Raw genomic sequence first — 13,515 nt, 5'->3', positions numbered from 1 at the left:
ATTAACAGTCATGTTATATGTGTAAAACTGATCATCATCTGATTTTAAATCATTTTTGCAATATGTTTTTCCAAACACTAAAATTATATGGAATGTTTTACCGTCATTCCTGTTTTGTAATAATATATATGACATTTTCTGTGTTACTTTTTATCACTTCCTCTCATTTAAAAAAGAAGTCTCTTCGGGATAACCTTTACTTTTAAGTAACTTTTTTAGAGTGAGATAAAAGCACAAAGCTAGCCAAGTTTTTGTCTTTCTTTTTCAAGAATAAATTAAAATTAATCTTTTCTAATACTCAGTGCCTCAAAAGTTATGTGTACCAAATGTGTCATTGACATGATATGTAAACAACCTTCTTTCAAATTATCATTGCTATACTACTATATTTCCAGATAAAATTTTACGAAAATCAGGGATAATGCTATTTCCAAATAAGATTATTTTTCATTTTGTAGAAGACGTTTACAAGAACATCATAAATAAATACAACAAATGTTTTTGTTGTGCATGTCAGCTTTTTTCAGAATCTGCCTGCATTTTGGGGCATAAATTCTGTGTATAAGTTATTTTTTGCCTTAATTGCAAATTTGGCATTCAAAAGTTCAGTGGTCTTCCTAGAAAATCAATTCATTTTCTTCTTCTAATGAGTCCCATGACTGACTGTATTTGGTTAAAAATGAAAACAAACAAATATAACAGGTGAGACTTGAGTGAACAAGTTTAAGAACAGGTAATGAAAATACCAGTAGATTTTTATTTAGATGTATGTTGCTTGGTAATTTTAACTGATCAACTTAACAGCATATTCATGTTAAATAAAATTATGTGATCTAAAAATATTCTCCTAGTTGTTATGTAAGTTCCCCCTAGAAACTGTATTATCACTTTTTCATTTTAATAAGCTGATGCAAGAGCTATACTTTAAATGGTCTCATGTCATAGTTATATATCAAGCTTACCTACACTGAATTAATCAGAAATAATTTAAACATTTAGAAATTACGGGAATGATTTTTAATTTTTGGTAAGTAAAACTACATGCAGGATTTAAATGATCGTGTGACTAGTGAGAATATTAATTTTCTTGATTATTTCCCTCATAGTTCTAATTTTTGGAGGCATGTAGAAAAGTCAGGACACATAGTAGGTGCTTAGTAAATATTAATTGACCAGATTCTGTTTAGAAAAGCAAAATTAAGGCAGTCGTTGAGGTAATAACGTTGGTAATTTTGGTGTGAAAATAATAATCCATCTGAAGGAAAATGCTAACTTTGGCAGATACCAGGGAACACTGGGGGGTAGGGGTGTGATTTGAGACATTCCTGTTTGGTTGACTGTGTTAATCAAATTTTATGCTACCCTTTTGTTCTACCAGTAAAGATATGGTCGAACTGATACGTCATTAGGCTCAAGTTTGGGCCATAACTAGGATGACTACTTAAAATGACCATAGCTCTGTTTCCCCATTAAATAAAATAATTTATGAAATTACTTAAAGGCTCAAATATTCTAACTTATCTATTTGTTCCGTTTTTGTCGTTCAAGGAACAAATTGCATAATATTTATTTTCTGTGATTGTGCAAATTGTGAGATAAGCTAGACACATATTAAGTGCCTGAAGTACCCCTTCAGGTGTATTTCAGAGGGACTGCTACCCTAAATCATAATAGCTCCTTTAGTATAGAGCCCAAAAGTACAGTTGAGTGGTGTAGCTCATGAAGCTGAAAGACAAATGAAGCTTTCTGTAAACTAGGAGTCCAGCAATTATTGCATTAAAGCTCTTAAATTTATAAGTCCAGAATCTTCCTTCCCAAGCTTAGGCTATGGAGATATAATAAATCTCACAACCACGTAAGACACATACATTCTTGCCCTTTTTGTATAGAAAGGAAAATGAGAGCTGAATCAGTGTGCTTCATTTAGGACCTCATGTAAATGGCTGTTCCTCTTAACCACGTATAGTTTCCTCAGAAGTTAAGATAAAGATGAACCACTCTTGTATAAACCACTCATATTATTATGCCACTAATAAAAATATGTGCGTATATATTTATAAATTTGATGTGTGCTTACCACAGTGAAAATATTTAACATATATTCATAGTGTAAAAATATGTAGAATAGCATAAGTATAGCTATTATAGATTTTAAAAAATTCTGTGAACTATATTTTATATGTATCTATACTGGTATATGCATAGCAAACTGAATTTTCTACTTAAAATAATTTGCCCTAAGATTAAACTACTTTTTAAAAATTTAGAATAATTTTGTAATTCATCAGTTTGCTTTTAGAATGAAATTCCAAGATGGAAAAAATAATTTCTCATAACTTAAATTTTACTTCAGTTTTGACCTGAAATGGTACATCAGACATATTTCCAAATGATTTCTGTCCGTTTCTAAATGTCTATGAAGCATTGAAGATTCAACATCACTTAAGTAATGCAGAAAACAAAATCTGTTTGTCCTGAAGGCAATTTGTTGAAGGAATTTAAGACATATGCTGAGAAGACAGGATAGGGTGTTAAGGTTGTTGAAAGTACAAAATTTACCATGGTTACAATGTAGAAGGGAACCTCATTTGATGGTGCAAAGTATTGTTAAAAATCAGTTGTACGTTCTAGAAACAGTATGTCTAGTAACATATGTACAGTTTTTCAGTGTCACATACAAGTTTTATGATCAATTGGAAGATACTTTTTATTTTCACTGTATTTTATCAAATGTGAAGAGTTGTATGCAGAATTTTAAAACAGTTAATATTAACCATATCATTAATTTTACAGCAATAATTTGTATATTAAGAGTTTATTGACCGTAAGAGATTCTTACTAATTTATTTGGAATTTTTAACCAAAGAAATGAGTTGGCCAAATTCCTTGCCTGCTTTAAAACTATACATGGACGTTTTCCTTATGGATGTTCCAGTTCTTTTGGTCAGAGTAGAAGTGATCTTTCACGATCATAGACTAAAAAGAGAAGCTACTAAAAGGAGAGTGTTAACTAAAAAAAAAAATCACGTTTCTGGCATTTTGGCATGAAATTTTGGTATAATTTTTAACTGATTTATCTCTATCTTAGCTGTATTTTTTGTTTGAACTAACATTAAAATTAATTTACTGTTCTTATGTCAGCATTAATTGGTTGGATAAATGTGACAGAATATTGGATGGTGCAAAGTACCTCTTTTTACTAGAGACATTTTTGGATAGCTGTAATTTTCATGCAGCTTACCGTCAATATGTAAGCTTTGGATCATAACCCTGGTCTCAGGAAACTGTTAACTTAATGAGGGCAAGTGAGAGGCTAGACCAGGTATCTAGTGATGTATTTATATATTCATGTAGCTGTGCATATTGAAAAGGGAGTTTCCAAATTCTTTATTTTACTTTTTAAGAAAGATGTGATATAACTTTAAGGTTTATTTTTACATTTCTTAATTTAAATACAAAATGTTATAAATAATTTAGAAATTTAGAAAAATTTAGCCATTAAATATAGTAAGTAATCTTTCTAATGCTTTAATAATATTGCTAACTAATAATGGTTTTCTAAGATTTTAATTTGAACAGTCTTTAAACTGATGCCTTTCATGACCAAGGCCTTTCAGTGTATTATTGAGATTGTGGAGTTTTAGGACAACCTAGGGCTAAAATAATATACATATGATTATACCTAAACATATGTCTGTTTTTATCTATTTAGGATTAGACGTAATCCTTTTTGTAAAACAGTGTTCTCGCATGAGTACATACAGTCTCATCAATCAGGCATAACACAAAAAAGCCTAGTTTAGATAAACTGGTTTTCCATATTAATACTGAAATTACCAAAAGATGACCATATCAAAACATTTATTTGAAAACATATGTAGGCGTAGCTCAGGTTCTCGTTCTTTAGTCTCTAAGATCCTTTCACCATAATTTCTAGAGGAGATACTATAATTATGTAATAGGGTTAGTTAAATTGTGATTCATTTTCAATTTCTATTTGTAGTTTTCTGTGTGTTAATTAAGAGTCTAAGGACAGTCACATCAAGGACATGTTTAAATAAAAGTAGTAATTATTAGTATATTAGACTAAAGAACATCTCAAAACTATCATTCCCTGAGTGCTAGATTATAGTGTTTAAGGTGATACCTGATAATAAGTATGCTAACTGTTGTAATTAAATGGCACAGAATGATAACACTGACGAGAGCTCTTCTTATCCATAACATTAACCAAGTAACTATCTTTTTTTCTTGTATTTTGGTTCATAGCTCATTAGATAATTTCACATGAATTATGTTATTTGAGGTGGGCAACCAGATTTTGTCAGATGGGTGAGGGTAGGGATTATGGTCAGTCTGGCTCATCTCAAAGCTAAAACTCTCATGATCACTGGAAAAACTTTCAGTAGCAGCAAGTCTTCTAATCATATATTTTAATGGCAAGACATATTGCAAATAGTCTGTATACAAATGTGGCATGGAGACTGTACCACTTGTAGTAGCCCAGCCCCTTCATCATGAATGAGTAGCCTTCCACAGTTGCATATATTTCCTCTTCTCTTATTCCTTCCTCAGTACTGGGCAGTTTGATTTATATTTCTTCTTTCTCCACATGACACTTAGTATAATGCTCTACACAGAGTTCACATTCAATAAATGTTTTTAATTGACAGGCACATTTTTCTTCGTTTAAGTCTAATCTCCAAAAGGAAGAGCCTCTGTGGGTGTGTGTGAGCACGGCGTGCATGCACGGGTGAACTCGCATGCGCAGACATGTGCGTGTGTGTGTCCATGTGTGTGAAAGAAAGAGACTGTTGTTGTCACTGTTGTTGTGGGAAATGAGTGGCCAAAACAAATATGAGTAAAAATCTGACTTTTTTTAATTTTATGATGTTTGAAAATAAAAACGCAAAAGGGCTATATTAGTAAAATTTATATTGCCCTCACTAGGGGTATTACTTTTATATATACTATTAATTTTTAAAAGCTATTACTTTAAGTCAGTGTGGTCACAGAAACCTCTAAAATTTAGCCTCAGAACTTGTCTTCACAGGTTTTGAATATCTCTATATTACATTTTAGACTATTACATTGAATGCTAAATGGACTTGTAATAACCCTCACTTAAAGTTCAGCAAAAATAGGAGACTGTTTATTAGCAGCTTTATTTTAAGTTTCTATTCCAAATATTCTTTTAATTCAAGAGCTCTGGAAACACTTGTTTTGTGTTATTCTACCCTGGCTTCATGGCTAATGATGAATATACTTGATGAGGAATACTTCACTTTAAGTGGCAGTTCTGAAGTACTTGCATGGAAGGTGGTGCACATTTAACATTATTCTAACAGTCTGTTATGCACTGTACACAAGTAATAAAATTAATGGATACACTTCAAGTAATGATCCATTTCCTCTGGGTGCAATATATTTATTCACAGACTATTTCAGGGGTTGTTTAGAATATGAGATGTGAATGGATTATGATCCATTATCCCTGAGATTCTAATGTGCTACAACAAAATGGTTTCCATAAGTATTGCTCATAATGCCTGGTGTGTTAGTATTTGTATTCTTAAATAGCTAACACAAAATTAGAAAACAGATGCTCAGATGATTGATACTTAAAACTTTTCAGATATTTACACTTACAAACTCTTAGAAAAGTTAAAATTTTCCATTGAGTCAAGGAGCATAATTCTATGGAATACATATAAAACAATTATATATAATAATAAAATCCATATGCAAATATTTACTTGGATAACGCTTTGAACCCTTTTTCATTCTAGAAAGGTTTTAATGGACTTTCTTAGAAAATCAACAGTAGTTCTGGCATTTAGATGGTCAATTAATTCATAAAGTTGAAGTAATAGCATTTCTCATTTTAATTGAAGAGAGGTACATTAAGTAATGTGACAGTGTCGGTTATTAACGTGACAGTGTCAGTAAGTAACGTGACCATCCTCTCCATCCCCTGCCCAAGTATTTTAAAGCAAATTTGATACAAGAGAGATTGTGTGCTTGTTTGTGTATGGCTTTTGGCTTCAGTGTACATTGGTCTCATAATTTTTATATTCATATAGAGTACACTATTGATTTGGTATTGAATGAGTTCATGAGTACAGTGTAGTTATACTCTTTCTACTCCAAGCTGAGAATTCTATTAGATACTGCCAGTGGAGACATTTCCTATAGGAGTTTATAGTTTAGAAGGACAGTTTATGCCCTTGTTGAGCAGGCAGCATATTCACAATGAATTAATACAATGTTTGCATACAAATCCTTCATAGCAAGACTTCTGATTTTCTGTGCCCAACATTATGTCTTTTCTAGTAACATCTAGAAATTTCCACGTTTTTTTTGAAATGTTTTCGTTTCTTTATAACTTCAATCTCACATGATTATAAATGTGGCAGAATATTCCAGGATTCCCAAATAAACTCTTTTTATTTTTATTTTAGTTGGTGACAGGCTCTTGCTCTGTTGCCCAGGCTAGAATACAGTGATGCAATCATAGCTCAGTGCAGCCTCGAACTCCTGGTCTCAAAGGATCCCTGGTTATTGATAAAACTTCTTTAAAAAATGTATAAATACACCTTCTATATCCCATATTAGTCATATATTATATAAAATTAGGACTAATTTTAAAATAGTATTATTAACTTTTTATACATGTCCTGTTTCAGTCATTAAGAAGACTTCCTCTCCCCCTAATTTTCACACAAGAGAGCTGGTCCCTTGTTTTCTGAATATTCTTTTTCATTTCCTCTATATGGCATTGTCTAATATGTCTTTGTTGCCTAGTATGTGTCAGCATTTGTTATAAGTAAGTTATATATGTTAACTCAGAACTTTGGTAAGTATCCTATGAGGTCGATTCTATTTTTAATCCTCATTTCATGGATGAGAAAAACAAGATCCAGTGAAATTAAGTAACTGAACCCATTTCACACATCTAGTAAGGGGCATCAAATTTGAACTCCGGTCTCTTTAACGCCAGAATTCTCACCGGTCATTTCTCTGCCTTTCTGCCTGCCTCCCCCTTTTTGCTATTATAGATGTCGTTCTTTTACCTATCACTGCATTTTCATTGCCTGCATTCAGTTATAAAGATCAATATGCAAATAAATAGAGCGTATTATAAATTTCAGTGTTATGAATTTGTACAAAGCTGACTTTTCTTCACCATTTAAATTTCTTTTACAGTGATATATTGCAACATTTTTTGGGGGGCAAAACATAGAGTTTTGTGTAATGATCAACAATGACTCATTAAAACCTGTCCCTAGATTTTAACGGATACTGCAGAGCCTATTGGTACTTCACTGTAGTTTTATCATTTAACAAAATTAACATATCCATATTGAAAATCAACTTATAGTTTCATTTTTTCATTTGCTACGATTTGTATGGTTGACCTTTCTCAGGGACACAAAGTGATTTCTCTCTGTGTTCCCGTCTCATTTAGACAAATGTTGAATAAGACTCAATCCAGCATCAGTCTATCGGTCCCTTTAATTTAGCATTTCTTTTTTGCCTGTTTAATACCTGGTTCATGTTGACGTTTCACCCTTCATGGACTTCTAACTGCTTGTTCAAGTTCAACATATGCTGAAAATATTTCTCCTAAATATCTGATCATTTAGATCCATGCCACATTTTTTGTTATTAACATAATTTAAAAATTCTGTCCAGTATATTTTCTAATTATCTTTTTATTTTCCAGAAATGTTAACGTTTTATCATAATACTTTTTTCAAACGGAGTGCTCATACGATTGAAGTTTCATATTCTTCTCTTACACTTTATACCAAATGTGGTCATTTTATAACAACAGTTACTTAATCGCATCGCTTAACAAATATTTTGGTACAATTTTTGATCACTCCTCAAAATCTAACGATCAAAAACAGCATGTCACAATTGCTTCCTTAAGCATTAGGAGGATATTAGAATATGTAGCTCCTGTAGGCCACGGACTTCTTTTATACTTAGATATATGGAGCCATGTATATATTCTTTTTACATTCTATTATTTCCATTGTATCTCATTAAAAATATATCAGGGAAGAAGGAGGGGAAAATAGTTGACGATAATATTTGCAAAGTTTGTCTCCTTCACCGCCATCCTGAGTAGCATTATGCTTTGAAATTAGTGAAGTTACAGTTGTGTTTCAAATGAATTGAGGGACATGGTTTGGCAGCATTAATATCATTATGACAAATAGAACATTAGACTATCAGGGCAGAGGGAAGTGAAAGAGGATAAAATAATATAGTTGTTGAATTCACATCTATATTTTTTTTAGTCTTTAAAAAGGATAAAGTGGGAGGCATGTGCAAGTTAGCAAAACCACAGGCCTTATGTTTCTAGAGACGTTCTTCAGACTTTTTAAGAACTTAGCTTCCCTTTAACTAAATTATATTACCAGAAAATTAAGTAAAATGAACATTTATAAAAGTAGATTATCTTAGGCAACCTACTCTTCTACCAAACTACTCTTCGAACTTTTAGGTATTTTAACCTAGAGAAAGAACCTTACAGTGAGTTTATGTTCTTTTGAGATCTCTGTAGGTACATGAGGGAACATAAAACATTTAAATATTCAGTATTTCCAAAGTATAAGAAAGTTATCAGTGCTAATGTAGCTATGTTTAAAAATGCATGATATCATATGTAATATATTTTCTCTTTTATATTCTGTCATTAAGAAAACTATATAAGCTAATAAATCTAAGAAAGTCTAAATTTTGTAAACTAACTTTAGAGAGTTTGAATATTTTAACCCATAGCACAGCGTGATGTTGCCATGCTTTCATGCTATGTATGGAATAATATGTACTTGGACTGGCGTTCGTCATATATGAAATGACATAGCATATTCCATGGTACATAGTAGGTACTCCAGAATGGTAATGGTGATAATGATATGCTTGTGTTTCCATTTTTCCCTTGATAAAGTTTTCTGGGTTTGGTATTACTACAGATGATTTTAAAACTTTGAGATCAACTTCTACATTTATAAATTTAAAAATGTTTCACATTAGAAAGATTATTTTTCCTAGTACTTGTTTTTCTTCCTCGCATCCATGGACAATATGAGACAGAGTCTCGCTCTGTCACCCAGGCTGGAGTGCAGTGGCGCGATCTCCGCTCACTGCAAGCTCCGCCTCCCGGGTTCACGCCATTCTCCTGCCTCAGCCTCCCGAGTAGCTGGAACCCCAGGCGCCCGCCACCACGCCCGGCTAATTTTTTGTATTTTTAGTAGAGACGGGGTTTCACCGTGTTAGCCAGGATGGTCTTGATCTCCCGATGCCGTGATCCCCCACCTCGGCCTCCCAAAGTGTTGGAATTATAGGCATGAGCCACCGTGCCCAGCCGACAATCTGTTTATTTCTAATCTTCTGTAAATGAAATAAAGAATAATCTTGGATTTTTTTTCCTCTTTTTAAAACTATGAAAATACTATTTAAACTAATTTCCAAGCCCATTTTTAAAATTAAAAATGTAAGTTAGTTTGGGGAAGTATATTTGAGTAATATGTATGATATGTAAAATGTATCTGAAAACATCCAAAATGTTACTTGTTCATGCAGCCTTCCAGCTCCCATCAGAGCTTTGAGCACTTTTGTTTTTATTTAAGTTTTTATTTAATATTTTATTTACATATATTCTAATTTTCTACATCTTATGTCTTATTACTTGATGGCATTGATATTCATTGTTGTGACGCAAGTCTGATAATTCACATTGAATAATCTGAAATCATATTTACACATTTATATCTTAGAAAATAATTGATCTGGTTTGAAATCATTCATGTGGTGAATACTTTTATAATTAGGATGTGTTGGCTTTCAGATCATTTCTTTCAGTCTGTGGGTTCAGGGGATATATTTAATTATTTTTTTCTTTCTAGAGGGTGTTAATGCAGATAGCATCAAACAAGCCTCAGAACAACTGAACAGCCGGTGGATCGAATTCTGCCAGTTGCTAAGTGAGAGACTTAACTGGCTGGAGTATCAGAACAACATCATCGCTTTCTATAATCAGCTACAACAATTGGAGCAGATGACAACTACTGCTGAAAACTGGTTGAAAATCCAACCCACCACCCCATCAGAGCCAACAGCAATTAAAAGTCAGTTAAAAATTTGTAAGGTAAGAATCTCTTCTCCTTCCATTTGGAGCATAATCAATAGGTATTTCTTGGCAATTTCCAAGAAGACAGTAACAAATTATTTAGTAATGAAACGTTCACCTTCTAAGGATTTAGCTAAGCGCAATAAAGTTCAAAATGTAAGCAACAGAAATCTGTTTAAATATGTAAGACGTAGATACCCGGATTCTAAAATTGTATTTGGCGTAGTTACACAGCGCTAATTGATTGTGTCGGTTTGCGTAAGCATGAGGCAGTTTAGGAGTGTGGAAACCACATGTATCCTGTAAAAAATGGCCTCTCACTTTGGAACTCTTTCTTTGTGACGAGTGAAACATAGTCATTTTGAAAAAGTGGAATCCATGGAAATAGTTAGAAACACGGGTCAACAACAAGCTTGGATGCAGTATAACTAGATACATAAGGAAAATATTTAAAACTGATGGACCTCTCAAATTACGATAATTTGAGGAAGGTTTCTTTACAAAAAGATATTTTTAAAATGTAGCTGGAGTACAGAGGAACCACACCGGATAGTGTAGTAACCCAGCATCAGAGTTCTTACCCCTTTTAGTCCAGAAAGGATCAGTGAGAGAGCAGTTATAGAAACTCAGAAGGAGACAGTCAGATCCTCATGGTAAAAGCAGCATGGCCGGCTTAAGGAATCCTCATAGAAATGGAGTCAGACAAATAAACACCCCACTTCACTTTTTTCCCTGCCTCCAGAATCTTGTCAGGGCTCCTCACTGACTAAACTTAATCGTAAGACAAAGGACAAGGAACCGTCATCTGTAAATATCAGTCTCCTGGGTAACAGGAGAAGAGCGGACAGTGGATCTGGAGGGGCAAACAAGATGTAAGTGGACAAAAGGGCCTGAGAAAGAGATGAAAGGATTATGCCTTCAAGTGTAAGAAAACAAGAGCTGTATAATAATGAAAATAGCCTAAACTGTTTTCATTGTTACTATGAGCTATGTGCTTTTCGCGGGGAATGAGAAACTGATTAGAGGATGGACTAAAACGTTTCCAGGATGAACGTTTAGTGATAGATCGAGATGATTACATTTAATACAAAAGGCAAGGAGTGGAGATTCATTTGCATACTGTAAAAAAGAATGGCTTAAATAAAGGTAGAATAGACATGGAAAGGTGACAAGGTTGATTTAGAAAAGGTATTGGACCCAAAAAGTGATGAGAAATTCAAAGCTATTTTGAAGAGAAAAACAATTGAAGGACTTAATGGTTCTTCAAATATCGGACCTGTAGCATTATTAGGTTTTCTGTTCTTGTGTTAGTTTGCTGAGGAAATAAACTCAGAAAGTATACTTTTGGATAAAGAATACCTTGGATAAGGCACTTGACTTGTTAGGCAAATACACACATCTAAGGAATTTCTACATTGAGATGCATTTTGTAATTTAAGAATAGAACCAATGCCGCTTTTCCTGTGAATCAGAGGAATAATCCAAATACATTATTTCTTGCCACAAAAATCTGATGTTACCTTATCCGATTCTTGAGATTCAGATATAGTAGTTAGTAATAGTACCTACACAGTACATTCATGCATAAAATATATACATTAAGTGTCTCTAATGTGTTTAAGAATGCTACTGAGTGTATTAATCAGCTGAGTCTGCCACAATAAATACCACAGACTCGGTGGCTTAAACAACACAGGTTTATTTTCTGAGAGTTCTAGAAGTGAGAGAAAGTCCAGGATCAAGGTTTGGTAGGGTTCAGCTTCATCTTCTGGTGAAGGCTGTCTTCCTGGCTTGCAGATAACCAACTTCTCACTCTGTCCTCACATGGCTTTCCTCTGTGTGTATACATGCAGAGAGAGAGAATGAGGGCTATTTTTCTTTCTCTCTCTCTTTATCTCTGCCTCCTTTTATAAAGCCACCAATCCCTAAGGGATTAGCCCCCCACCCCGCCACCCTTACCCAACCCTGATGACGTCATATAAACATCATTACCTCTTAAAAGTCCTATCACCAAATAGTCTCACCAATGGTTAGGACTTCAACATGTGAATTTTGGAAGACACAATTCAGCCCATAGCACTAAGTTTTGGGAATATTAGAGTGGGCATTCATGGACTCTGCTTTTATTGTATTTACGGAAAGCAGAGAAGAGAGATATGAAACAATGGAATCAATATTTTTAAATTTCCTGCTAGGAACAGTGGTTTAAACTAAGATGCAAAGCTTTGGGAGAATGAGTAACAGGGAAAAACGAACCTGATACAGCCACCAAGGGCATCTTCCTTGAGGGAGGAACATTTGAGTTGAGACTTTTGTGATAAGTTAGAATTAGGTAAGAGAACAGTTAAGCAAGATTCCAGGCAGAAGGAACATGGCAAGAGGGAGCAATAAAGGCCAAGCACCTGAATGAAGACCATTGTAAATGCTGAACATAGAGGGGCAGATGAATGAGAGGAGAGACAAACAGGAATCAGTCAGGTATATAGGAGACAAACCAATGACTTCTGGGACCTGCTAGTATCTTGGTCTTGATTTGAGGAACAAATGGAGATCACCAGAGGTTTTATATATTAAATATTGTCTGGAGGTTGAGGAAGTCATCCTAAGGGAAAATACTTCTCTTACTGCATCCAAATTCCGTTGTCACCTCCTTATCACCCCTTACTCTTTCTCTCAGACCCATTGGTGTCTATTAATTTGAAGAATCACTTTAGGTAAAATATTTAGCAAGATAAGCTTAATATTATTCATACAAGGGCAAATATATATACTGTTCTGCTGAGATTAGTGATAGGTAAATAAATTATAACATGTTTCTCAGCGTTTTATTTTATTTGGAGAAGTTTTATAACATTAGAGCGCATATTTAGCTCATATTCTAATGATCGGCAGAACTGGTTTTTAATATTGTGGGGGTTAGAGAGCCTTATCAGAATTGGAAAAAATTCATGAACCCTTTCCTGTGAAAAATACAAAAGCTTCCATGAGATAAGCATATAATTTTAAAGAATAAACAGACTCAAAGGAGATACCATACTCTGGAGGACCAACTAAACCAAATCCTTTTATGGAAATAATGGCTAATTGTTCACATCTTTTTAAACACAGAATACTTCAGTTGAAAAGTATCTCTTCTATGATTTATTCTCAGAACATTAAGGTCTCAACTGAACATTTGCCCAAATGTTTTATTAGTTTCAAAGTCCCCTTTGTTTTTCAGAGCACACTTGGCTATAATGTTGGCTCTTTCTATAGCCCCCTGAACGGGAAAAATGGCAGCCCTCCATCTGGCCAAATATAAATCAGGTTCTTAATGGTTCACAGTAGATGCCAATGCTGCCATTTGTAAATCTAGCATACAAATTATTTGT

General features: G+C 33.7%; 1 protein-coding gene across 17 annotated transcripts in view; it reads left to right on the top strand.

The window, feature by feature from the left end:
• Positions 1–13,515, top strand: part of DMD (dystrophin) — a 2,220,167-nt gene that overhangs the window by 837,950 nt on the left and 1,368,702 nt on the right. For all 17 annotated transcript variants that reach the window (XM_006724469.4, NM_000109.4, XM_011545467.2 and 14 more), the window contains 1 exon segment: positions 9,921–10,162. In XM_006724469.4, the coding sequence (XP_006724532.1) occupies positions 9,921–10,162 (242 nt within the window).

Source organism: Homo sapiens, chromosome X (genome assembly GCF_000001405.40).
Source record: "Homo sapiens chromosome X, GRCh38.p14 Primary Assembly".
NCBI classification, from domain to species: Eukaryota; Metazoa; Chordata; class Mammalia; order Primates; family Hominidae; genus Homo; species Homo sapiens.
This window is presented reverse-complemented; position numbering and strand designations above follow the sequence as displayed.